General features: G+C 53.2%; 1 protein-coding gene across 4 annotated transcripts in view, besides 3 other annotated features; it reads left to right on the plus strand.

Moving 5' to 3' along the window:
• The first annotated feature begins 5,051 nt into the window (after positions 1-5,051).
• The window catches only part of CAND2 (cullin associated and neddylation dissociated 2 (putative)), a 38,124-nt gene continuing 16,236 nt past the window's right edge, over positions 5,052-26,939 (plus strand). For 2 of the 4 annotated variants that reach the window (NM_001162499.2, XM_011533503.3), the window contains exons 1-10: positions 5,052-5,160; positions 11,860-12,003; positions 15,678-15,832; positions 16,582-16,705; positions 18,431-18,696; positions 21,362-21,467; positions 21,618-21,760; positions 23,513-23,805; positions 24,239-24,380; positions 24,746-26,248. In NM_001162499.2, the coding sequence (NP_001155971.1) occupies positions 5,093-5,160; positions 11,860-12,003; positions 15,678-15,832; positions 16,582-16,705; positions 18,431-18,696; positions 21,362-21,467; positions 21,618-21,760; positions 23,513-23,805; positions 24,239-24,380; positions 24,746-26,248 (2,944 nt within the window). In that variant the 5' untranslated portion in view covers positions 5,052-5,092. Of the gene's footprint in view, positions 5,161-5,577; positions 5,809-11,859; positions 12,004-15,677; positions 15,833-16,581; positions 16,706-18,430; positions 18,697-21,361; positions 21,468-21,617; positions 21,761-23,512; positions 23,806-24,238; positions 24,381-24,745; positions 26,249-26,939 lie in introns of those variants that run through there. The other 2 variants (XM_011533504.3, NM_012298.3) reach the window with 2 other exon arrangements.
• Positions 11,944-12,444: an enhancer, noted in NCBI's record as "H3K4me1 hESC enhancer chr3:12845071-12845571 (GRCh37/hg19 assembly coordinates)". NCBI's record gives its function as "activates a minimal SCP1, AML or CMV promoter by ChIP-STARR-seq in naive H9 embryonic stem cells {active_cell/tissue: H9 hESC(naive)}" and the evidence as "EXISTENCE:reporter gene assay evidence [ECO:0000049][PMID:30033119]".
• Positions 18,459-18,908: a silencer, noted in NCBI's record as "silent region_14070". NCBI's record gives its function as "represses an Ori minimal core promoter by ATAC-STARR-seq in GM12878 lymphoblastoid cells {active_cell/tissue: GM12878}" and the evidence as "EXISTENCE:reporter gene assay evidence [ECO:0000049][PMID:35858748]".
• Positions 22,254-22,434: a silencer, noted in NCBI's record as "fragment chr3:12855381-12855561 (GRCh37/hg19 assembly coordinates)". NCBI's record gives its function as "represses an EF-1alpha promoter that drives an FKBP-Casp9 reporter gene in an ReSE screen in HepG2 liver carcinoma cells {active_cell/tissue: HepG2}" and the evidence as "EXISTENCE:reporter gene assay evidence [ECO:0000049][PMID:32094911]".

Here is a 26,939-nt window from a genome sequence, read left to right on the forward strand (position 1 = left end):
TCTACTCAGCTGCTCCAGCTAAAAACTCATAATTCTTCCCTTTTCCTTACCCATAAAAATAATATATGACTTGTAAAAATATATGCACTGACTCATAAAATTATTACAAAATATTATGAAACTATGTACTTATTTCATTTCCTTTCCTTTTTATTTATTTATTTATTTACTTTTTTGCTCTGTTTTTTGTCTCGTTCTTTTGCCCAGACTGAAGTGCAGTGGCATGATCTTGGCTCACTGCAATCTCCACCTCCCAGCAATTTTCCTGCCTCGGCCTCCAAAGTAACTGGGATTACAGGTGCGCGCCACCACACCTGGCTAATTTTGTATTTTTAGTAGAGACGGGGTTTCACCATGTTATCCAGGCTGGTCTCGAACTCCTGACCTCAAGTGATCCACCCACCTCAGCCTCCCAAAGTGCTGGTATTACAGGCTAGAGCTACCGAGCCCAGCCCATTTCCCTCCTTTTTATTGAGGCAACAGTTACATATAGCAAAGTACAGCTTGATTAATTTTTACAAATATATACCTGTAATCATCACCCAATTCAAGAGTGTGGATTCAATTAGCCAGGTGTGGTGGTGTGTGCCTGTAGTCCCAGCTGCTCAGGTGGCTGAGACAGGAGGATGGCTTGAGCCCGGGAGGTGGAGGCTGCAGTGAGTGGTGATCATGCCACTGCACTCTAGCCTGGGCGACAGAGTGAGATGTTGTCTAAAAAAAAAAAAAAAGTATGTGAATCCAATCCTCAAATGAAACTGCTGTATTCTATTTCCATGACATAACCCGAATCTTCCCATCTTCGCCACCATTCCCCCAATGCAAACCACCCTCATTCTTTTTTCTTTTTTTTTTTCTTTGAGACAGAGTCTCGCTCTGTAGCCTAGGCTGGAGTGCAGTGGCCCATGATCTCCACTCACTGCAAGCTCTGCCTCCCGGGTTCACATCATTCTCCTGCCTCAGCCTCCTGAGTAGCTGGCACTACAGGTGCCCGCCACCACACCCGGCTAATTTTTTGTATTTTTAGTAGAGATGGGGTTTCTCTGTGTTAGCCAGGATAGTCTCGATCTCCTGACCTCATGATCTGCCTGCCTTGGCCTGCGAAAGTGCTGGGATTATAGGCATGAGCCACCATGCCCAGCCTCTTTTTCTTTTTTCTTCTTTTGAGATGGAGTCTGGCTCTGTTGCCCAGACTGGAGTGTATTGGTGTGATCTCGCTCACTGCAATCACCTCCGCCTCCAGGGTTCAAGCAATTCCCCTGCCTCAGTCTCCCGAGTAGCTGGGACTACAGGCGTGTGCCATCACACCCGGCTAATTTTTGTATTTTTAGTAGAGACAGGGTTTCACCATGTTGGCCAGGTTGGTCTTGAACTCCTGACCTCAGGTGATCTCCCAGAAGTGCTGGGATTACAGGCATAAGCCACCACGCCCGGCCCAAACCACCCTGATTCTTGATTGCGTGGACTGTTCAGCACTAAAGAGATCTTTCTAAAAAACCAGGCCAGGTGCAGTGGCTCACATCTGTAATCCCAACACTTTGGGAGGCCGAAGCAGGTAGATCACCTGAAGTCAGGAGTTCAAGACCAGCTTCTGGCCAACATGGTGAAACCCTGTCTCTACTAAAAATACAAAAATTAGCTGGGCATGGTGATGCGTGCCTGTAATCCCAGCTACTTGGGAGGCTGAGGCAGGAGAATTACTTGAGCCTGGGAGGTGGGGGTTGCAGTGAGCTGAGATTGCACCACTGCACTCCAGCTTGGGCAACAGAGCAAGATTCCATCTCAATAAATAACTGAATTAATTAAATAAATAAAATAAAATAAACTGATCTGGCTGGGCGCAGTGGCTCACACCTGTAATCCCAGCACTTCGGTAGGCTGAGGCGGGTGGATCACCTGAGGTCAGGAGTTCAAGACTATCCTGGCCAACATGGTGAAACCCCATCTCTACTAAAAATACAAAATTTTGCCGTGTGTGGCGGCGGGTGCCTGTAGTCCCAGCTACTCGGGAGGCTGGGGCAGGAGAACTGCTTGAACCTGGGAGGCAGAGGTTGCAGTGAGCCGAGATCACACAACTGCACTCCAGACTGGGCAACAGAGGGATACTCTGTCTCAAAAACAACAACAAAAACTGATCAAGTTACCTTCTTGCTTTACGCCATCCAGTGTTCCCTGGCGTTAGTGTTCCCACATAAAATTAGTGTTCCCATATAAAATACGAACTCCTTGCCTTGGCCTGAAAGGTTTCAAGTAATCTGGCCCCTGTCCACCTCTCTGTCCTCATTTCCTCAGTGGAAGACTGATCTCATTCCATTCCAGCCATAGCCCGCCCTCCCTCTCTCCCTCCCTCCCTTCCTCCCTTCCTCCCCTCCTTTTTTTTGAAACAGGGTCTACTTTGTCACCCAGGCTGGAGTGCAGTGGTGCGATCACAGCTTACTGCAACCTCTGCCTCCCAGGCTCACCTCTGCCTCCCAGGTTCAAGAGATTCTTCCACCTCAGCCCCCCAAGTAGCTGGGACTACAGGCGTGTGCCATCACACCCGGCTGATTTTTGCATTTTTTGTAGAGACAGGGTTTCACCATGTTGCCCAGGCTGGTCTTTAACTCCTGAGCTTATGTGATCCACCCACCTCAACCTCCCAAAATGCTGGGATTACAGGCATGAGCCACTGCGCCCAGCCAGCCACAGCCTTTTCTTTTCTTTCTTTCTTTCTTTCCTTTTTTTTGAGATGGAGTCTCGCTCTGTTTCCCAGGCTGGAGTGCAGTGGTGCCATCTTGGCTCACTGCAAGCTCCGCCTCCCGGGTTCACGCCATTCTCTTGCCTCAGCCTCCCGAGTAGCTGGGATTACAGGCGCCCACCATCACGCCCGGCTAATTTTTGTATTTTTAGTAGAGACGGGGTTTCACCTTGTTAGCCAGGATGGTCTCGATTTCCTGACCTTGTGATCCACCCGCCTCAGCCTCCCAAAGTGCTGGGATTACAGGCGTGAGCCACCGTGCCCGGCCCAGCCACAGCATTTTCTTAAACACATCAGGCTGGTTCCCACCTTGAGACCTTTTTTTTTTTTTTTTTTTTTGAGGCAGAATCTTGCTCTGTCGCCAGGCTGGAGTGCAGTGGCGCGATCTCGTCTCACTGCGAACTCTGCCTCCCGGGTTCACGCCATTCTCCTGCCTCAGCCTCCTGAGTAGCTGGGACTACAGGTGCCCGCCACCACGCCCGGCTAATTTTTTTGTATTTTTAGTAGAGACGGGGTTTCATCGTGTTAGCCAGGATGGTCTCGATTTCCTGACCTCGTGATCCTCCTGCCTCGGCCTCCCAAAGTGCTGGGATTACAGGTGTGAGCCACCGCACCCGGCCACCACCTCGGGACCTTTGCACCTGCTGCTCCCTCTGTCTGGGAAGCCCTTCCCTCAAAACTTTGCCCAGCTGCTTCATCTGTTGAGGTCTTAGCCCAAATGTCTCCTCCTCAAAAAGTGCCCTCCCTGACCTTTGCTGAAGTTGCCCCTCCACGCTCCAGGAACTCTCTATTTTATTTTCTGAAGAGCTCTTATTTTCCTTATCTAATCACTTTCTTCCTTCTTGCTGATTTCCTACACTAAAATGTAAAGTCCCCAGGGGGCAGGGGCCGTTTGTGTCTAACACCCTGCTGCGTTGCATCCTTGTTGTACAGATCTGCACTGTCCATTATGATAGCCACTACCCATAGTGGGCTATTTAAAGTTAAGTTAATGAAAAATAAATATAATTAAGAATTTGGTTCCCCAGTCACACTAATTCCATTTCAAGTGCTCAATAGCCACATGTGGCTAGTGGCTATCATATTAGATACTATACTGAAGATGTAGAACATTTTCAACATTGCAGTGTTCTATTAGCTTTGGTCTAGAACCTACGTACCTCATAATAACAGGTGTTCAAGGGGGGTGTCAATTTAATAAAGATTTTTTTTTTTTTTTTGAGACGGAGTCTCGCTCTGTCGCCCAGGCTGGAGTGCAGTGGCGCGATCTCCGCTCACTGCAAGCTCCGCCTCCCGGGTTCACGCCATTCTCCTGCCTCAGCCTCCCGAGTAGCTGGGACTACAGGCGCCTGCCACCACACCCGGCTAATTTTTTTGTATTTTTAGTAGAGACGGGGTTTCACTGTGTTAGCCAGGATGGTCGTGATCTCCTGACCTCGTGATCCGCCCGCCTCGGCCTCCCAAGTGAATAAAGATTTCTTTTATCCTTATCTTATGAGTGAGAAAAACATAGCCCAGAGAGGTTGTTTCATTATCCCAAGGTCACACAGCCAGGAAGGAGCCTAGCAGAGATTTGAAGCCAGGCTTGTCTGGCTCTGAAGCACACACTACTCCCTTTCCCATCCAGCAGCCTCCTGGCTGTTTATGGAAGGATTGCTGCGCAGGATATTAAGGGATCTGCAGTCAATCCTGACTCCATCCCAGATTCATTGGCTGTGTGACCCTCAGCAAATCCCTTTGCTTCTCGGCCTCAGTTGCATTGCTAAAAAAATGAAGAAACTGACCCTGCCGTCCTGAGGGTTGGGGATGCGAGGCAGGGGGCCTTGTGTGACTCAGTTCATTCCCCAGATCCTGTCTGGCTCAGGGGCGGGCAAGCATCGTGGGTGAGGGGTCTTTTGGTTGGCCTGACCAGCTTTGGTTGATAGCTCCTGTTTCTTGAATGCCTACAGATGAGAAAGCGGAGGTAAAGTAACTTGGCCAAGGCTACACAGCAGAAGAGGCAGAAGTGGGATTCGAACCTGAGACTCTATGATATTACGTCCATGCCGCAAGACAGAGCTGGCACCTACGGGAATAACAAGGAGGTGGTGGCAGGGTAGTGAGCTCCCCGTCTCTGGGGGTGTGTGCAATCCGGCGCTGCGCTGTCAGCAGGGCAAGGGCTGGGGCCGGGGCCAAGACCACCAAGCCAGGCCCAGGCCCGCCCGCCTCCCGCGGCCGCCACGGCCAAGGCGTGAGCACGGGGCGGGGCGGGAGCTGCTATTTCTGTCTGGTGAGCGCAGCCCGCGCAGCTGGCGAGGGAGGGGGCGCCCGCGCCGCCATATTCCCTCCCGCCGGCCGGCTCCGCGGCGCGCAGCCACCATGAGCACCGCCGCCTTCCACATCTCCAGCCTCCTGGAGAAGATGACGTCCAGCGACAAGGACTTCAGGTGCAGCCCGCCGCCGGCCCCCTTCTCTCCTTCCCGCTCTGAAGCCGGGGGCCTTCTTCCCCTCTCGAAGCGCCAGCCCATCCCCCATGACCATGCAGCCCCCTGCCTCTTCTCTCTTCTCCCTGCATTAAGCTGCCCCCCTCCCCACAGGCCCACTCCTGCCTCGTGGTCCCCACTGGAGCTCCGGCCGTTCTCCCCTAGGGGCCGTCCTGCCCCTCCGCGACTCCAGTCCCTGCTTCGTCTCCCACCGTGCAGGCTTCAGCCCTACCTCTCACCCCCGATCAGAGCCCCGGCTCCACCCCTCTGCACCCTGCCTCGGCCTCTCCTCCCTCGTGTGTGTCCGGCCCCCTTCTTCCCCCGCAGCTGATGCCCCAGCGCCCCCTCCCCCCCGCCCCCACCACCTTCAGCGAGCCCACAGTGAAGCCCTACGCCTCTCCCTGGGGACCCCAGCACCTGCCTCTCCTCCGCATTGAACCCGGACCCTTCCCGGGACCGCAACCCCCAGCTGACTTTCTCACTGGCACCCTCAGTGATGCCTCCTTCTCAACATCACCCGGACCCCTCCCTCCCCGTCTCCCTCCCCTCCTGCGATTGTTCAGACCCAGCCTAAAGGAGGGGGCTGGGCTGAGTCTGGCTTTCCAGTCACAGGTAGGTGATGGTTGGGGTGGGACCTTCTAGGTTTTGTGTGCCACTCTCCTTCCCCACTCCCTTTTTCCTTCTTTCCCCCTCTCACAGCATCACAGAACCACAGGAATAGAGCTGAAAAGAACGGTGGAAACATCTGGTCCAATGAGTTTCCACCTGCATTCCCTGGGGAAACTGAGGCCCAGGGAGGAAAAGGGATTGGCCCGTGGTCTCATGGCCAGTTCTGGCCCCTCCAGCTGAAAGAAGACCTTGGAGACTCAATGAACATTTTTTCACTTTGTCCCCATTTTACAGATAGGGAAACTGAGTCTCAGAGACATGAAGGGCGTAGGTTCAGTCACAGCGAGGAAGTGGGAGACTTAGTCCAAATCCAGGCCAGTCTAATACAGAGGCCAAGATCTTAGTGAGGTCCTCTGATTCCAGCCCCCTGACAGGTGAGGAGACAGACCTGCTCTGGTGGTCTGACTCCTACTCTTCTCCTGCAGCCCATTCCTCAGTACCCCTCAAGAGCCCCCCCACATTAATAGAGCCTGGGATCCAAGGTCTTGGCTTCAGATCCCAGCTGCCGTCACTCACTGGCCGTGTGACCATGGACAAGTAACTTAACCCCCATGAGTCTCCCTGTGCTTCTGTTTCTATAAAATGGGGATAACAGAACCCATCTCTGAGGGTTGGGGTAAGGATTAAATAAGATAGTACATGTGAAATGCTCAGGTTCATGGCAGGCACTAGGTCGGTGCTTCATAAACGGACACTGTTATGATTCTGTGCACATCCAAAATCTGCCACGCCCTGTCCCCTCTCTAGACCTTCACTAGGGGGATTCTTTGCTCTCCCTTGACCTCCTCCCTTCATCTGACAGCTCCTATAACTCTTGACCCCAGGCAGGATTAGGTACCTCCTTTCAGCTCCCATCATGCCTCCCCTCATGTTTCTGCTAGATCACTTTTCAGCCCTGGGAGACCCTGAGCTCCTGGGCCACTGGGACTATGCACTTCCTCTTAGTGCCCCAACACCTGTGCTGAGTACACGGTAGGTGCTTAGTGAATGTTCGCTGGGTCCCAGGCTCCCTACTGTGCACCCCACGTGTAATCTCAGTCCACCCATGGGTGGTAGTGATTGTTCTTCCTGTTTTCCGGAGGCTTGGAGGAGTGCAGTGACTTGCCCAAGGTCACAGAGCTGGCTAGTGGCCTAGGGGATTTGCGCTAGTGTCTCTCAGGCCTCTGGTCCAGTCTCTGGGAGAGGGAGTTGGCCCTGCCAGCTACAGCCCGAGAAGCCCTTTCAGCCTGTCTCTGCCAGTGGCCTGGAGAACACTTAAAACCACCCCAAGCATGTGAGAATGGTGTCTATTTTTAAAGTCCGAATACCAGGGTGCTGGGTCCTGCAGACCAGCTGTCCAGGCGTCCGTGTGGCCAAGGGTTTCAGCTGAGTTGCCTCTAGGGTTTCTCTGTAATGAAACTGAGACTGTCCTCTGGTTCCTGGAGCGGGGCAGCGACTGCAAATGGGGGTCCCAGGTGGGGTGGAGGGAGACCTTTGTTTCCTGTTCTTCCTGGGCCCTGGCTTTATGGGCAGGAGGTGCCCCATTACCACGGAGGCTCCAGCAGTCAAAACGAGTACCCTTGCAGGTCTTGCAGGAATTACCAAGTCATTTCTTGAAAACACAGTAGTATTATTGGTTGAAAAGCCAGGAGACCTGTGTGGTGGGCTGGTTTTCCGCCCAGTTTGCTGTTACCGTAGGCAGTTTGTGCAGCCTCCCTGAGCCTAGTTTTCTTACTACCTCATGCTAAGAGCTAGATTGTCCTATTGAAACCTCCCAAGGATACTATGAGGTAGGGCAAAGAAAAGTTCCCATTTTATATATAGAAAATCTGAGGCCCAGAGAAAAGGAGGTAGTTGCCCAATGTCACCTAGTTGATAAATGGCAAGACTAGTAAGTATACTCACTTAAAGCCAAACTTTGGTGCTCAAGCTCTTATCCACCAAATTATATACTTTTCCTTCTCTCTCCCATCCCTACACACATACACGTATAAAACATGGCTTGCTTTCTCCGAGAGCTAGTGTCTGCAGGAACCAGGGGTGTCTGAAATGCTGAGGCATACTTCAGAAGAGTTGGTTTCTGAATTCGGACTATTTGGCTGTAAGTTCTGTTAAGGGCTAGCTCTCTCACTACCTCTCCTCCTGCTCTCACCCTCCCTGACAAAGCCCTCTGCAGACCTGTTCTTTGTTGAGCCTGGAGTCCCAGAGATAAACCTGATGAGCCTCTGCCCTCAGTGAGTGTACAGTCCAATGGAGAAGATGCTCTGGTGGCCAGACTTGTATTGCAGTGTGAGAAGTGCTATAAAGGAGGGGTGCAGAGTGCTCTGAAAGGATCTTGTCCAGGGAACCATTGTGCTTAGGGGCTGTGGATGCAGGGGTAGGGCAGGGAGGTCAGTCATCCTTGAGCTGGGACATTTGAGCTGGGCTCTTGATGGGTGAATAGGAGGAGCTCAACAGATGAAGAAGAAGAGCGGGGATAGAAGGCCTATCTTGGGCAAAGAGGCACATCGCCTGGGTTGCCAGGCTGAGCTGGGCCCCCATGGACTGCAGCAGAAACACAACTTGGAGACCCTGGGTGCCATCTCAGAATGTCCCCTCAGCTGAGCAGACGTAGGGGTGCATGTGCTCACCTCAGGCCTTGGCCTGGCTCAAATCCAAACCTCCTCCTTCACTTTACCTTTGCCCAGAGGTGGGCACAGTCAGTCCTGCCATCCTGCCCATGCTGCCAGCCCAGCCTCCTTCTCTCTCCTAGCAACTTGTGGCTAATCTACCTGTTAAAAATAAATAGGTCATCGACCAGTCCACCCCTGGTAACAGGGCACTGTGGGCTGCAGTGACATCTAGGAGCAGGTCTGAGTCTGCACAGATGAGAGCCAGAATCCCAACTGTGATAGATTTTGCCACAGGAGGCGGGGGTCAGGGCTCTTGGTTGATTTGCTCAACCATGCTGGAAAGCAGGGCCAGCGTGGGGTGGTAGAGTGGCCCAGCAGGGTCAGTAAAAGCTGGAGGCTTTCTCCGAGGCAGCCTTACAGTATCTCCTCGCTGCTCTGTCCTGTTTTCTCCTGAGACTCCGCTCTCACATGCCTGCAGGAGCCAGTCAGTGGGTGAAGTGGGCCTAGTGGGGACCAGGTGAACTGGGGAGAGGGCAGCCACAACCTGATTCTAATCAGGTATTGTCACCAGGGATTGTAGGCCCCGTTGTACTCAAATATTCTGTTTTCAAGATAATCTGGAAGTCAGTGTTTTGTTTTTGTTTTTGTTTTTGTTTTTTTTTGAGTCTCACTCTGTCACCCAGGCTGGAGTGCTGTGGCACGATCTTGGCTCACTGCAACCTCTGCCTCCTGGGTTCAAGTGATTCTCCTGCCTCAGCCTCCCAAGTAGCTGGGACTACAGGTGTGCACCACCATACCTGGCTAATTTTCGTATTTTTAGTAGAGATGGGGTTTCCCCCTGTTGGCCAGGCTGGTCTCTAATTTCTGACCTTAAGTGATCTGGCGACCTTGGCCTCCCAAAGTGCTGGGATTGCAGGCGTGAGCTGCTGCGCCCAGCCTGGAAATCAGTATTTTTTTTTTTTTTTTTTTTTGAGATGGATACTCGCACTGTTACCCAGGCTGGAGTGCAGTGGCACGATCTCAGCTCACTGCAACCTTTGCCTCCCGGGTTCAAGTGATTCACCTGCCTCAGCCTTCCCAGTAGCTAGGATTACAGGTGTCTGCCACCGCGCTCGGCTAATTTTTGTATTTTTAATAGAGACAGGGTTTCACCATATTGGCCAGGCTGATCTAGAACTTTTGACCTCAGGTGATCCACCCGCCTCAGCCTCCTAAAGTGCTGGGATTACAGGCGTGAGCCGCCATGCCAGGCCAAAGTCAGTATTTTTGTGTCAACTTTCCCAATGTTCAAATGTTGACAAGTAATTTAAATTTTTGAAAACATGTTTGCAAGCTGGACACAGCTGAGGGCTACTAGTTTCAGACCTCTGCTCCTACCCTCTTAATTTTGGCGGGAATGGTGCCCAATTCCCGCACCATTCCTCGACTTGGAAAGTTGGCCCCAGCCTCAACTTTCCGTGGCTTCCAGCTTAGACTCCCACTGCAGTTTCAAATGCCTGGGACAGCATCAGGCTTTTGGTGTCAGGCCCCATGAATCCCTCACCTCCGGGTGGGTAGCCCTTGCCTCTGGTGCCCACCCTAGGTCAGTGAGCCAGTCAGCTATTGGCGCTGGTCTCCAAAATATGCCCATGCCCATCAGCATGGCGTGGGGCAGTGGTTTTCAAAGTGTGGTCCCTGACCCTCAGTGTCCTCCAGGAATTTGTTAGAAATGTGGATTCCTGGGCCCCAACTCAGACCTGCTGATTCAGAAACTCTGGGAATGGGGACTAGTATTATTTAACAAGCGCTGCTGGTGATTCTGATGCTGGCTATAGCTGGAGATCCACTGCTCTAAGGGCAGGGACTGAGCCGGTTCTCTGAGATGGGAGTGGACAGGGCTCGCCCTCCTCCATCTGTTTGGCAGACAGGCCTCTAGCTCTGACTTGGACACAAGGTGTCTGTTCAACCTTCTGGTATCCCTTGGCTGGGCGCGGTGGCTCACGCCTGTAATCCTAGCATTTTGGGAGGCCGAGGTGGGCGGATCACGAGGTCAGGAGATCAAGACCATCCTGGCTAACACAGTGAAACCCCACCTCTACTAAAAATACAAAAAATTAGCCGGGCGTGGTGGCCGGCACCTGTAGTCCCAGCTACTCGGGAGGCTGAGGCAGGAGAATGGTGTGAACCCAGGAGATGGAGCTTGCAGTGAGCTGAGATCGTGCCACTGCACTCCAGCCTGGGCAACAGAGCAAGACTCCATCTCAAAAAACAAAACAAAACAAAACAACCTTCTGGCATCACTTTCTCAGCTGTTGTGAGATGTGGATGATGTCCTGTGCCATTATAATAATGGCAGTGCCATTTACTGAGCACACACCATGTGCACTTAAAACACCATGAGGCAGGTACTAGTCTCATCCCTGTTTTCAGACAGGTAAACTAAGGCTTGGAGAGGTGAAATGACTTGCCCAAGTTCACACTCATAAATGGCTGAGGCGGGGGCCACCGATCCTGAAACATTATGCATTTAGCCAGCATGCTGAGCCGTTGCTAGTCTGCCACTATGTGGCAGTTGGTGTCACACATATGTGGGTCTCCTTGTAGCCCAACCATGCCCACTGCCCAAATAATCCACCATCATGTGGCACTTAACGACGGGGAAACATTCTGAGAAGTGCATCCTTAGGCGATTTTGTCCTTGTGTGAACCTCATAGAGTGTGCCTACACAACCTAGATGGTAGAGCCTACTACACTCCCAGGCTATATGGTGTGGCCTGTTGCTCCTAGGCTACAAACCTGTATTGAGTACTGTAGGCAGTTGTAACAGAGTGGTATTTGTGTGTCTAAACATAGAAAAGGTACAGTAAAAATAAGGTAGAAAAGATTAAAATGGCATGCCTGTATAGGGCAGCTCCATTAAAATCTTTTTTTTTTTTTTTTTTGGAGACGGAGTCTCTCTCTGTCGCCCAGGCTGGAGTACAGTGGCATGATCTTGGCTCACTGCAAGCTCCGCCTCCCGGGTTCACGCCATTCTCCTGCTTCAGCCTCCCAAGTAGCTGGGACTACAGGCGCCCGCCACCACACCTGGCTAATTTTTTGTATTTTGTTTAGTAGAGACTGGGTTTCACCATGTTAGCCAGGATGGTCTTGATCTCCTGACCTCGTGATCTGCCCACCTCGGCCTCCCAAAGTGCTGGGATTACAGGCGTGAGCCATTGCGCCCGGCCAGCTCCATTATAATCTTATGGGACAACCATTGTATATGTTGCCTGTCACTTACCAAAACATCATTATGTGACACAGGACTGCATTTGACCTCGAATCTTTGTATTAAGGTCTACTTCTAGGGGAACCCTGAGGTACTGCCCAAATCCACCAGGGCCCAGGAGCTGCTCAGCAATCTCCTCCACCCTCCCTGTGCAGGTTCATGGCCACCAGCGACCTGATGTCGGAGTTGCAGAAGGACTCCATCCAGCTGGACGAGGACAGCGAGCGCAAGGTGGTGAAGATGCTGCTCCGGCTCCTGGAGGACAAGAACGGTGAGGTGCAGAACCTGGCTGTCAAGTGGTGAGTGTCAGCCTCGGTGGAGCAGGAGAGGGGGCCCTACCTTGTGTGGGAGCATCCTGGGGACCGCTGTCCCTTTGGGGTACAGCCTCGCAGAGGAGACCTGCTGAGCAGCTCTCGTTGAATGGTACCTTAGTCTGAGTTTTCCCAGAAGATGCTGAGACAAGGATTCAAATCTAAGTTTATTTGGGAGGCGCTCCCAGGAAACATGGTAGAGGAGTAGGGAAGTGAGGCAGGAAAGGGAAGAGGACCAATCAAGGGTATGGTACGAAGCAAGTGACCACAGTGGGCCTGATGAGCTTAACCCCATGGGGACCTCTGGGACACAGTATAGGACATGTCCCTTGGACTTTTCCCACTCAAAGGGTAAGGGAGCTGGGGTATTAATCCACCAGCTCCCTGGTAGTCATTGGTTAAGGGCTGCTTCTGGGGTAGGATGGAGGGTTGTCCACTGCCTGCCACCTCCAGCCAGAGAAAGCCCTCAGACAGATGTAAATGCTGGGAAGGTCAAGCTGACACACATCAAGGTGGTAAAGGCTTAAAGGCTGGGTGCGGTGGCTCATGCCTGTAATCCCAGCACTTTGAGAGGCCAAGGCAGGTGGATCACCTGAGGTCAGGAGTTTGAGACCAGCCTGACCAACATGGTGAAACCCTGTCTCTACTAAATAATAATTAAAAAAAAAAAGTTGCCGGGCATGGTGGTGCGTGCCTGTAATCACAGCTACTTGGGAGGCTGAGGCAGGAGAATCGCTTGAACCCAGGAGGCAGAGATTGCAGTGAGCCAAGATTGCGCCATTGCACTCCAGCCTGGGCAACAAGAGCAAAAATTCCATCTCAAAAACAAACAAACAAAAAAGGCTTAGGGCACATGGGACTGGGAGAGGTCCTAAAAGCCCCAGCCTTAGATCACTGTGAGGCTGTGATCCTGAGACGTTGGCCAGTTATCTCGAGTAGAAAAAGACAAGACAAGGGTATGTGCAGAGCACGTGGGGATGCTTGTGTGGTAGGGTCATTCTCACACCCACACCTGAGAACCACTAGTGTAGGGCAGAGGTTGTCAAGCTTGACTGCAGGTTAGCATCACCTGGGTAATTTTAAATAGAATGCCAGGGATCAAGGGACAACAGGGTGAGAGAATTGGGCACTGTCTCTCAAACCACTGTCTGTGAGCTGGGTCCAGGCATTCTTCTGGGGCATGTTAATGAATTTGCAATGTGATCCCAAGAGCAGAGAGAATTCAGTAAAGGGTTTTATGTAGGAAGGTGACATGGACAAGTTTATGAGCTGGGAATGTCTTTCTGGTCATGGAGTAGACTTAGGATGGGTTTCACACCAGCAGAACCAATACCTTTTTATAACAAATAGTTTGTAATACCGTTTCCTATTAGGAAATGAAATTCATACATTATAAAACCTACCTCTACACATAATGCCCTAACCATAACCATAAAGGCAAACTAGAAGGAATGTAGTTTATAGTAATGTGTGTTTCCATGTATGCGTGCTTGGGCACTGTGATGGTAGAAGTGATGAAGTCACGAGAAGCCTGCATCTACACGTGAACTCATCATGAGTACAGATACAGACAGGGGGTGTTGGGGACTCAGGTTTCAGAATTGGAGGCCATTGCTCTTAGTGGCAAGATTTTCTTTTTTTTTTCTTCTTTTTTTTTTTTTTGAAACAGAGTCTCACTTTGTCACTCAGGCTGGAGTACAGTGGTGCAATCTCAGCTCACTGTGACCTCCCCCTCCCAGGTTCAAGCGATTCCCATGTCTCAGCCTCCTCAGTAGCTGACATTACAGGCATGCACCACCACACCCGGCTAATTTTTGTATTTTTAGTAGAGTCGGGGTTTTACCATGTTGGCCAGGCTGGTCTTGAACTCCTGACCTCAAGTGATCTGCCTGCCTAGGCCTCCCAAAGTGCTGGGATTACAGGCATGAGCCACCACACCCAGCCAGGATTTTCTAAAGTGAGTGACCATCTCCCAATAAAGTTTCCCAGAAAACAAAGTAGAATTTTCCTTCAATTTACCTGAAAATTGCATTCTTAGAAAATCTAAAATGTGGTATATTAAAACAATGTAAAAAAGTATTTTGTGTCTATGTATAAAATGAAATTTTAGACTCAGATAATTATAGAAAGGCCTTTTGCCTATACAAATGCCCATTGGGATGTTAGAACCTCTTGCGGGGCATGGACAGTGCTTTGTTTTACATTATTGTCTTTCTGCCGTTCCTGCTTCTCAACCCCTTAAAGGCCAGAAGTACTAACTCAATAGTTTTGATGACCAAGGACCCCCATAAATTGCCAAGGTGGTATTACTCCTAGTGGGAACCAGTGCTATAGGAGGTAGGATGGAGGACTCCATGATTACGTAGATAGAGGAGCTGTGGAGAAGGAAGTTGAGAGAACCAAGGTTTGAAAACCATGGTGCACATGCCTGTAGTCCTAGCTATTCTGGAGGCTGAGGCAAGAGGATCACTTGAGGCCAGCAGTTCAAGACCAGCCTGGGCAACATAGCGAGACACTGAAAAAAGAAATTAGCCAAGCATGGTGGCTTGAATATGTAATCTCATCTGTGTAGGAGGATCGCTTGAGCCCAGGAGTTTGAGGCTGCAGTGGGCTATGATCACGCCACTGTATTCCAGCCTGGGCAACAGAGCGAGACCTCATCTCAATAAAAATCAAGAAAAAAGAAAACCATTGTGCATTGCAGTCACCTGAAGCTCTTGTTGAAACCCTGTATTCCCTGCCCAGGGATTCAGATTCAGGGGATGGAGCAGGAAGGGAGCTGGGGCAGAGGATGAGACTATAGCACCCTGGAATCTGCATTCTGATGCACACCAATGTCTGAGAACCACTCAGGTAGGGCAGAGGTTGTCAGCCTCGACTGCATGTTAGAATCACCTGGGGAATTTTAAAAGCCCTCCCCCAACCCCCTCCAGGCCACATCTGAAACCAATTAACTGAGACTCTCTGAGGGCAGTGCCCAGGTAGGCATTTTTTAGAGGCCCAGGTGATGGCAACTAAGGCCAAGAACGAGGGCGTCTAGTGCCGCTGTTTTTACACTTTCCTGTGCATTGGAATCACCTGGGGACCTTGTGGCGCTACAGATCCTGGCTCAGTAGATCTAGGGTAGGGTAAGGCCTGAGATTCCACATCCTGAACAAGCTCCCGAGTGGCATTGCCAATGCTAACTCACCACCAAACTTTGAGAAGCAAGCCTCTAAGGCAGAGGTTCTCCAAGTGTGCTCCCTGGACCACCTACAGTATCAGCCTCAACTGGGAGCTTGCTAGAAATGCACACTATCAGGCCACACCTAGATATAGCCCTCCTGACTCTGAAACTCTGGAGGTGGGGCCCAGCCATCTGTTTAAACAAGCCCGCCAGGGGATTCAGATGCACCCTCAAGTTTGAGAACCCTTGTTCTGGAGCACTATTTGGCCATTTCCTGAGACGTAAAACACAAGAAGAAATGTAGGTTTGGGAGGTCCCAGGAACGATGTTGGCATAGCCAGAGAGTATCTCTTTCTGGCCAAACAGGGGCTCCCCTGATGATCTGAGGCCTTTTCCTCAGCACGTGTGGCCGCAGGAGCATGAGGGGACATAAAGGGGCAGCCTGACTCAGGCTGAACCTTGTGCCCTTGGATTCACCTTCCCACTCCCTGCTCAGCCTGGGTCCTCTGGTGGTCAAAGTGAAGGAGTACCAGGTGGAGACCATTGTGGACACCCTGTGCACCAACATGCGGTCAGACAAGGAGCAGCTGCGAGACATTGCCGGCATTGGCCTCAAGACCGTCCTCTCGGAGCTCCCTCCTGCAGCCACAGGTACCCAGGTCCCCAGGACTAGGTACTGTTAGTATTTGTCCTAGTTTATGGTAAAAAAACAAACGAAAAAACAAAAAAAAAACACTGAGGCTCAGAGAGTTGAAGAGACATACCTGAGGTCACTCAGCTAGTAAGCAGGGCAGAGAATTCAGGCCCAGCTCAGTTTAAGTTCATGGTTCTGTGTCAGGAATGCTTTTAGCTCAAGTGATGAAATCTAACTAACGGCAGTTTAAAGAAATCAGGGGTGGTTTTTCCTCACATGGCAATCCTGGAGGAATCAGCCACTCCATTTTTGTAGCAGTTCATTTAGTGGCTCAATGTTGACAGGGTTCCAGTCTTGCCCCATGTCCCCTCCCTTTATAGGGAAAGCACACGTTTTCCCAGAAACCCCCAGAGGACTTCCACTTATATCTCACTGGCAAGAGCTGGATCACCCAGCCACTCCCAGCAGCAAGGGAGGCAGGAAAGGAAGTGTTTAACTTTCCCTGCCTCCCTAGTGGAATGGGGAAAGGAAGAAGGGCTTGGGTGTGTGTAAGTCACCCAGAAGCTCGGCCATCAGCTCTGCAGCTCCCCTAGCTGTCTCCTTGACTTTGGCCAGACTCTGGGTCAAACCTGGGACCTCTGGAGCCCTGGTAAGATTCCCGGGGATGTGGGCTCAGGAACACAGCCAGAGCAGAGGCAGACTAGTGGTGGAGGCTGCCTTTCCCCCAGGCCAGGGCCTCACTGTGCCCACCTTGTGCCCTGTGCAGGCTCCGGGCTGGCCACCAACGTGTGCCGGAAGATCACAGGCCAGCTCACCAGTGCCATTGCCCAGCAGGAGGATGTGGCTGTGCAGCTGGAAGCCCTGGACATCCTCTCTGACATGCTGAGCAGGTGTGGGAGGCCATCCTGGGTATTGAGGAAGAGTGGGTAAAAGGGGACAGGGAGGGACTCAAATCACAGAGCTAGCACCTACTGCACACCAGGCCCTGTGCTTGGGGCTCCTTAATCATCCCAGCAGCCTCGTAAAGGAGAACTCAATTGTCACAATTTTACAGGCTCTGAGAGATGATGCGGTCAGTAAAACCTCCCATGACTTGAACACCTGCTCTGGCCAGAAAAATGTCAGGTGCTGGCCTAGTGTTGGGAACATGGGGTTAGATCAGTCTTGGTTGTTCTAGGGAGGAGTTCACAGACATGTATAAAACTGTGAATGGAGTAAGCACAACAGTAAGGATAAGAGCAGGGCTGATAGGAGCTCAGAGGAGCCCCCAGTCCAGCTGGGAGTGAGGAGCCTTCTAAAAGAGAGTGCTGCTAGAGCTGAGCCTTCGAGGAGGGGCAGGACTTAGCTGAGTTTGGGCAGGTATAAAGAGGATGCTGGAGGGGAGACTGTCCCCAGTCCAGAAGGCAGAGACAGGGGAAGACTTGGGGTCCCAGAGTCTGCCAGGGGTCGTGGGGCAGGCTGTAATGTGGAGAGGTGGGTATGCAGAGCTGAGGTGCAGGGCTGGCCAGGAGCCATGGGGCAGGGGTGAGTATTTGTGTGTTCTACCCTGATCTTTCTCTCTGCAGTGGAGAGTAGGTGGGAGGGGATTGAACAGGCAGGGGACTGGTTAAGAGGCTGCTATAGGGAAAGCAATTCGGGTTGTATTCAGGAGGGGGACTCCACAGGACTTGGAGTGGGCAGGGGAGGCAGGGACTGGAGGCTGACCCCTAGGGTTCTGCCTTTAGTAACTGGCGGGGGCAGACAGAGGTGCTGTGATGGGGTGCACTCCGGGAGCCAGCAGCAGGTGTGTGGGGAGGAAGGTGATGGATTCAAGCTGGGGCATGTTGAACTTGAGGCTCCTGGGAGGCACTCACTCAACCACACACTCCATGAGGGCAGCTCCCAGGATCAGTCTGTCTTGTTCACCCTGGCTTCCAGCACAGTCCCTGTCACTTAGCAGGTGAACAGGCAAACAAATGAAACCTAGGAGAGGGGGTTGGGTAGGACATAGAAATAAGGGAGGGTAAGGTCAGCGTGTTTCTGTAAAGTGAGAAAGAAAAGGTCTCAAGATGTTTACAGGACAGAAAATGCACGGGCCTCGTTTGAAGGTGTGGATAGAAGCTGCTGAGGCAGGCAGGAGCTGTGCTGTGTGCGCAGAAACCATTGTCTGGTGTTGCCTCTTGTCTTGAGCCCAGAGCTCAGCATCTCCAAAGGCACTAGGGAGCCATGGAAGGAGTTAAGCAGAGGAGTGACCAGGTGAGAAGTAGACTTTATACTGCTCTGGTCTCAGCGAGGAGGATGGACAGAAGGGGATGGTATTGAGGCAAGGCCTAGACTTCCAAGAAATAGGGACAGCCTTACTAGATCCTCTATGCTTTCCCCTATCAGGTCTTTCTCCCTAGGCTGGGAGCCAGGCTTTGCACTGCTGAGAAGTCCCTTTCTCTCTCCGCTTTCTCTCATGTAACAAAAGTAATTAAAATAATTCCTCCTCACAGTTGCAGGGCACCTCTTTTGCAAGGGCCATTGAGTTGCCATAATCCTGGGAAGGAGGCCGGGAGAGAATGGGGAGAGGGGCGGAGCCTGGCCCAGGTTGCCCGCGGAGTGCGATCGGCCTGATGCCCCCTCGTGCTCCCCAGGCTGGGTGTCCCGCTGGGCGCCTTCCACGCCAGCCTCCTGCACTGTCTGCTGCCACAGCTGAGCAGCCCGCGCCTGGCGGTGCGCAAGCGGGCGGTCGGAGCGCTTGGCCACCTGGCGGCCGCCTGCAGCACCGACCTCTTCGTCGAGCTCGCTGACCACCTACTGGACCGGCTGCCCGGCCCGCGGGTGCCCACCAGCCCGACTGCCATCCGCACCCTGATCCAATGTTTGGGCAGCGTCGGCCGCCAGGCCGGCCACCGCCTCGGTAAGGGGGCAGGGGGCGGGGCCTGGGCTGGCATGGTGGGCGGAGCTTAGGGTGAGCCAATGACTCGGTAAAGGGGCGGAGCTTGGGCCGCAGTGCAGCCAGGGCCTAAGGGTGGGCCGTCTGCCTTGGTAGGGAGGATGGGGCGGGGCCTGGGCTGATGTGGTGGGTGGGGCCTGGGGCGGGCGGCTGAAGCCCCTGAAACGCAGAGGTTGGGGCCGGATAGGGCTTGAGAGGCGCAGGGCGGGCCCTGAGCTCGACAAACCCCCAGGCCTGAGCCCCTGCTGAGTGCAGACGGTTCAGAGAAGGGGGTTGGTTCAATCACTTATGAGACGTGGAGGCTGGCTGGTAATTACAATTTTAAGTCATGCCACTAAACTGTTAGACTATGTTCTCTTCTCCCAGTTTGACAAAGATATCTTAGTAACAGCCCATGAGCCAAGTTTGAATTTTTAAGAAACAATTTAATGTGCATACAATAAACCGCACTATTTAAAGTGTGCAATTCAGTGTGTTTTGACCTTTGTGTATATCCGTGAAACCTTTCCATCACCCCCAAAAGCTTCCTTGTGTCCGTTTGCAGTCCAGCTCTCTGCCTTGTCCAGGAAGCCACTGATCTGCTTTCTGTCACTATAGATTAGTTTTTTAGAAATGGAAAGCTGCAATCAGGTTTGAATGTATCCTCAGACACCTTGGAGTTCTGACTATACCAAGACAGTTTGGATAGAACTGGCATATGGTCAGCCCCTCCCAACCCCTGGCTCTCTCACTGCAAGGGGCCTTGCAGGCACACGGCGGGGGGTGGGGGGGGGAACCCCAGCTGACATGGCCACACCCTGTCCCATTTCTCCCAAACAGCAGCCAGCCCTCAGCCATCCTTGGTTGCATGGACCTAGGAAAGAGGCCTGCGCAGGCTCGGACAAGGGGTCAGGATCCATTGGGCAGGAAACTCGGGTCCCCAGATACCCAGACAGAATGGAGTCTAGGAGTGTTGGGGGTCTCTAGGTCAGCATGTCTCTTCTTATGCTGTAGGGAAGGGTATGGCTGGAGAAGGGCTTGAGTGGAGTGCTCTAAAGCCTGGAGACCAGGCAGGAACCCCTCTTGCCTGGTCTATTAGGGCAGTACCTGCCTCCCTTTCTCCTATCCAAGGACTTAAACCTAGTGAAGGAAATTAGGCCAGGACATGAATAATGGTTTTGATAACAGATGCTATTTATCGAGTGCCTGCTCGTGTAGAACCTGGACTAAGCTTTTTTATTTATTTTTTTGAGACGGAGTCTCGCTCTGTTGCCCAGGCTGGAGTGCAATGGTGCAGTCTCGGCTCACCGCAACCTCCGCCTCCCGGATTCAAGTGATTCTCCTGTCTCAGCCTCCTGAGTAGCTGGCACTACAGGCGCACGCTACCATACCCAGCTAATTTTTGTATTTTTAGTAGAGACGGGGTTTAACTATGTTGGTTGGCCAGGTTGGTCTTGAACCCCTGACCTTGTGATCCCATGATCTGCCCGCCTCGGCCTCCCAAAGTGCTGGGATTACAGGGGTGAGCCACTGCACCCAACCTTGGACTAAGCTTTTTTAACTTCTTTTTTTTTTTTCTTTTTGAGACTGAGTCTCGTGTCTTGCTCTGTTTCCCAGGCTGGAGTGTAGTGGCACGATCTCTGCTCACTGTAACCTCCACCTCCCAGGTTCAAGCAATTCTGCCTCAGCCTCCCAAGTAGCTGGGATTACAGGGGCGCACTGCCACGTGCAGCTAATTTTTGTATTTTTAGTAGAGATGGAGTTTCACCATGTTGGCCAAGCTGGTCTCGAACTCCTGACCTCAGATGATCCATCTGCCTTGGCCTCCCAAAGTGCTGGGATTACAGGTGTGAGCCACCATGCCCGGCCTAAGCTGTTTATCTTTTTTTTTTTTTTTTTTTGGAGATAGAATCTCGCTCTGTCCCCCAGGCTGGAGTACGGTGACGCTATCTTGTCTCACTGCAACCTCCACCTCCCAGGTTCAAGCAATTCTCCTGCCTCAGCCTCCTGAATAGCTGGGACTACAGGTGTGTGCCACCGTGCCCGGCTAATTTTTTTTTTTTTTTTTTTTTTTTTGAGACGGAGTCTCGCTCTGTCGCCCAGGCCAGACTGCGGACTGCAGTGGCGCAATCTCGGCTCACTGCAAGCTCCGCTTCCCGGGTTCACGCCATTCTCCTGCCTCAGCCTCCTGAGTAGCTGGGACTACAGGCGCCCGCCACCGCGCCCGGCTAATTTTTTGTATTTTTAGTAGAGACGGGGTTTCACCTTGTTAGCCAGGATAGTCTCGATCTCCTGACCTCATGATCCACCCGCCTCGGCCTCCCATAGTGCTGGGATTACAGGCGCGCCTGGCCTAAGCTATTTATCATTATATAATTTATCTTCACAAAATCTCTGCCCAGGAGGCACTGTTATCCTTGTTGTGAAGATTAGCTGACTAAGGTCAAAGAAATGTTGTGACCTGCCCAAGGTCCCATAGCAGTTGGGTGGCAGAGTCAGGGCTAGAACCCACATTTGCTTGACTATGAAACCTCTGAGTTGAATCTACAGTGGTCAGGGCTGCAGGTGCATAGACAGTCTGAGTGCTGTGGGCTGGGGGAACTCCGGGAGAGTGTCTGGCTTGGGTTCAGTGATCCACCTGGCCCTGCAGGGGCTCACCTGGACCGCCTGGTGCCCCTGGTGGAGGATTTCTGCAACCTGGATGATGATGAGCTCCGGGAGTCCTGCCTCCAGGCTTTTGAGGCCTTCTTGAGGAAGTATGTATGGTGGGGTTGCCTGGGGATCCCTTTGGGAAGTTGGTGGGGATGCTGGCCCAAAGCAGTAAAATTTCAGGACTCCCATTGGGCCCTGTCCCCCACTCCTGTCCTGGCTGGATCCAGCAAAGCATTCCTCATCCTGCCCCACAGGTGCCCCAAGGAAATGGGTCCTCACGTGCCCAACGTGACCAGCCTCTGCCTCCAATACATAAAACACGACCCCAACTACAACTACGACAGTGATGAGGATGAGGAGCAGATGGAGACAGAGGATAGTGAATTCAGTGAGCAAGGTTGGTGGACAGCCCATCATTGGGGTTGGAGGGTGGAGGTGAACACAGCCTTCCTGGGATCCCCCAACCAAAGACAGCGGTCACATTTGGTGCCCCTGTCCTGATGCCAGCTCTTTCTCAAGCTCCAGTCCCACCCGCTGTGACTGCACAGACCACAGTAATGATAGTAGTCATTGCTGTCATTTATTGAGCATCTACTAGTTGTGTTCCTCACAATAACCCTAAAAAAACAGAAATTATTACCCACGTGTTTCAGACAAGGACACATACTGAGAAGAGAGTGGCCTGAGATAACACAACTAGGAATTGGCATAGCTGGGCCTTAGAGCCAGGTCTGTCAGGCTCCCCCACCTCTGCACTGCCACCGTGTACCCTTTTATGAATGGCTTTCAGGAGATAATGTCTTTAACCCAGCAGAGGAAAGCTCTGATGGTGGAATGGCAGGCACTGGCAGGGGAGCAAGATGTCTCAATGGGGGTGGACTTGATAGCTTCTTTCCTCCTATGCCTGTGGTCCTGTCTGTCATTCAGACAGATTTCCAGGGCAGAGATGCCCCTAGGCCTGAAGGCAGGGCATCGATGGAGACGATGGATTTAGAGCCTGATGGGGTACTTGGAACAAGATGGGATGGTAAATGAGATTGGACAGGCATGCGGGGGCCTTGAATGCCAAGCCAGGGAGGTGGGACACTTGTCAGTAATAGAGAGCTAAGGATGTGTGTTCGTGGGTGGCCTACTGTGGGGGTGACAGTGATCCATTAGAGGGGATGGCTGCTGAGCTGCCCGGTGGCCGTGGCCCACTGTGGCTGTCCAGACACCACCCTGTGGGTCCAAGTGGTCCACAGAGTGGTATGGGCAAGGCCATGCTGGGCTCTGAGCCTGTGCCTTGGGGTGCTCCCAGGCAAGACTGTCCCCCTCTGAGCCTCCTGTGTGCCTCCACAGGTGATAGGGCTGGGCCTCGTGGACCTGAATCTCAGCTCTGCTGTTCCTCGCTGTGTGCCCTGAGAGTCTCACCCGCTCTGAGTCTTAGTCTTATCGTCTGTAAAATGGAGCTTGGCAGTACCTTCACTTTTGAGGTGATGGTAAAGACTGCACGAGCCCTTGACTTTCAGGGAGATTGTCAGGTAGAAAGCCACACAAACCCAGCATTTCCTCTTTATTAATCCTGCCTGGAAGCCTTTGGAATCAGGACCCTTGAGAGGCAGAGATCGGGGGAGAGAAGAGGCCAAAGGGAGGCTCTGTCCCTTCTCCCTTCTGGAGTCCCAGTAAACGAAACATCACATAGCCAAACCTGATGCCAAAAGATGAGTTTTGTGCCCCAAATTGATTCTCCAAGTCTACATGAAGACTTGGAAGTCTGTTTTTTCCCTGGTACAGTCCAGACAATTAAGGGTCTGGAGGCAGAGGGGAGGACCCTAGTTTAACTCCAAGTATTTCCTTAACTTGGGGCAAGCCACTTCCTCTATCTAAACCCCAGTTTTCTCATCTCTATAATGGGGAAATAATCCCTGTCTCAAAAGGTCGTCATGAAGCTAAAATAAGATTATGGGTTTGACATGCTTAGCCCCATCCGTAGCACTCAGTAGATGCCCATTAAAAGGTAGGGAATGTTCCCCATAGGGTATCTATAAATGCTGATCATCAAAAAGTGAAGCACAGTGCCCAGCTCTCTCTCCTCCCTGTCCCTTCTCCCCCGAGCCACAGACCTGTCCTGGGAGATGAGGGTTCCACGTGTGTCTTGTTCCTGCCCCAGAGAGTGAAGACGAGTACAGCGATGACGATGACATGAGCTGGAAGGTGCGCCGGGCAGCTGCCAAGTGCATCGCAGCCTTGATCAGCTCGCGGCCTGACCTGCTGCCCGATTTCCACTGCACCCTGGCACCTGTGCTCATCCGCCGCTTCAAAGAACGCGAGGAGAACGTCAAGGCTGACGTCTTCACTGCTTACATCGTGCTGCTGCGGCAAACACAGCCCCCGAAGGGATGGCTGGAGGCCATGGAGGAACCCACCCAGACCGGCAGCAACCTCCATATGCTACGTGGACAGGTGGGCGTGCCTTCACCTCCACCCCTACCCCCGATTTGCCTACCCAGCCACTCACTGTTAGTGTCCCTGGACTTGGAAACTCAGCTGGGAGAACATCCAGCCATGGAAGGGAAGGGAAGGGGTCCCTGGGGTGGGGGGCGGGAGCCAGCCAGGCTTCTGGAGTGTAGTAGTGACAGCCAGCCTGCCTGAGTGAGCTTGAGCAAGTTGCTTGGTCTCTCTGTACCTGTAAAATGGACGCAGAAAATTTGCCTACTCTCCAAGGGTCTGTGTGCGGTCACCAAAAGCCTGGCACAGAGTGAGGGACGAGTGCTTGGGAGATATCTTGATGCCGACATCCTCCCTGGGGATGTGTCTGGCAAAGCCTCCTGGTAGTGGGCAGGTGGGTAGGTTTCTTGGGTGTTCCCTGACCTTGACTTCCCCCTCCTGCCCACAGGTGCCCCTTGTGGTCAAGGCCCTGCAGCGGCAGCTTAAAGATCGGAGCGTCAGAGCCCGCCAGGGATGCTTCAGCCTCCTCACCGAGCTGGCGGGTGTCCTCCCAGGCAGCCTGGCCGAGCATATGCCTGTGCTGGTATCAGGTAGGCTGGACTGCAACCAGGTATCTGCTGTTCTGGGCCACTTCCAGAACCCAGACCCCACCCCTGAGTTGAGCCCCCAGTTCCTGAGACAGTCTGAGACCCAATCCCAGGCTCAGTCCCTGGTCAAGAGTCTCCAGTGGCCTCCCACTACCAGCAGTGAGAACAAGGCTGGCTCCAGTGAGTTCCCTGGACATGTTTCCCTCAGCCCTGGCCACTGGTCAGGGCTGACTTCTTGGAAACTTCTGCAGAAGAGTTTAGGTGCTTCAGTCCAGCTCAGGCACTTGTAGGTACCCCAGCCTTGCTTCCAGGGAGGGCCGTGTTGCATCAGAGGCGGTGGCCTCATAACCTTTGCATTCACCCTGCAGGCATCATCTTCTCGCTGGCCGACCGCTCCAGCTCCTCCACCATCCGGATGGATGCCCTGGCCTTCTTGCAGGGGCTGCTGGGCACCGAACCAGCTGAGGCCTTCCACCCACACTTGCCTATCCTCCTGCCACCTGTGATGGCCTGTGTGGCTGACTCTTTCTACAAGATTGCAGCCGAGGCCCTGGTGGTGCTGCAGGAGCTGGTGCGGGCCCTGTGGCCGCTGCACAGGCCTCGGATGCTGGATCCTGAGCCATATGTTGGAGAGATGTCTGCTGTCACCCTGGCGCGACTTCGTGCCACTGACCTGGACCAGGAGGTGAAGGAGCGGGCCATTTCCTGCATGGGCCACCTTGTAGGCCACCTGGGTGACCGGCTTGGGGATGACCTGGAGCCCACGTTACTGCTCCTCCTGGACCGCCTGCGGAATGAGATCACCCGGCTGCCCGCCATCAAGGCGCTTACGCTGGTGGCCGTATCCCCACTACAGCTTGACCTACAGCCCATCCTGGCCGAGGCACTGCACATTCTGGCCTCATTCCTGCGGAAGAACCAGCGGGCTTTGCGACTGGCCACACTGGCAGCCCTGGACGCCCTGGCCCAGAGCCAGGGCCTCAGCCTCCCACCGTCTGCCGTGCAGGCCGTGCTGGCTGAGCTGCCTGCCCTGGTCAACGAGAGCGACATGCATGTGGCCCAGCTGGCTGTGGACTTCCTTGCCACAGTGACCCAGGCCCAGCCAGCCTCTTTGGTGGAGGTCAGTGGCCCTGTGCTCTCAGAGCTGCTGCGGCTGCTGCGTTCGCCCCTGTTGCCAGCCGGGGTTCTGGCAGCTGCTGAAGGCTTCCTGCAGGCCCTGGTAGGGACCCGTCCCCCGTGTGTGGACTATGCCAAACTCATCAGCCTGCTCACTGCGCCTGTTTATGAGCAGGCTGTGGATGGTGGGCCTGGCCTGCACAAGCAGGTGTTCCACTCATTGGCCCGGTGTGTGGCAGCCCTCTCAGCTGCCTGTCCCCAAGAGGCGGCAAGCACAGCCAGTCGCCTGGTCTGCGATGCCAGGTCGCCCCACTCCAGCACGGGGGTCAAGGTCCTGGCATTCTTGTCGCTGGCTGAGGTGGGTCAGGTGGCTGGGCCAGGCCACCAGCGGGAGCTGAAGGCGGTGCTCCTGGAAGCTTTGGGGTCACCCAGTGAGGATGTGAGGGCTGCAGCCTCGTATGCACTGGGCCGTGTGGGTGCTGGCAGCCTGCCCGACTTCCTGCCCTTCCTGCTGGAGCAGATCGAGGCTGAGCCCCGACGACAGTACCTGCTGCTGCACTCACTCAGGGAGGCCCTGGGGGCCGCCCAGCCTGACAGCCTGAAGCCCTACGCCGAGGACATCTGGGCCTTGCTGTTCCAGCGCTGCGAGGGTGCTGAGGAGGGCACCCGGGGGGTGGTGGCCGAGTGCATTGGGAAGCTGGTCCTTGTGAACCCTTCGTTCCTTCTGCCCCGCTTGCGGAAGCAGCTTGCTGCAGGTAGGCACACAGGTGTGGGCAAGGCAGCCCACCTCGGAGGTGGGCAGTTTGCCACTGAGCATCCAGGCAGCTGGGGCAGAGTGAGCTATTTCAAGTCACTGGATACAAGAATCACGGTATCTATACGACAGAGGCAAGGAAGCTACAGAGGAACACACAGTGATACCTGAGACTTAAAGCCTTCCTCCTATGGGACTGTGGGATAGAAGGGACAGAGTCCTTGATTGGTCCCTACAACAAATACATTTAAAAATCTCATGATGTTGGCTAGGCATGGTGGCACATGTCTGTAATCCCAGCACTTTGGGGAGGCTGAGGTGGGTGGATCACTTGAGCCTAGGAGTTTGAGACCAGCCTGGGCAACATGGTGAGACCCTGCCTCTACCAAAAAAAAAAACAAAACAAAAAACCTCATGATGCCAACTTCATAATCCTTGATGTGGACAGTAGCTTAGTGCTCCACACAGAGGTCAACAAAAACAGTTTTCCCAGTAGCCGTAGACTGCAGCCTGCAGAGGGTCAGCTCTTTCGGCTAGCCTGAGCCAAGAGCAGACGTCAGTATAGACGGGGACAGGCTGACATGCCCCCGAGGCTTGGAGAGGGCTGGGCAAGAACCAGGAGGGGCAGGCGTTTTGGCTTGTCGTGTTTTGGCACACCAGGTGTCTTAGCTTCAGGAGGTGGAAAGCAGACA

The sequence above is a fragment of the Homo sapiens genome, chromosome 3 (assembly GCF_000001405.40).
Source record: "Homo sapiens chromosome 3, GRCh38.p14 Primary Assembly".
Lineage (NCBI taxonomy): Eukaryota > Metazoa > Chordata > Mammalia > Primates > Hominidae > Homo > Homo sapiens.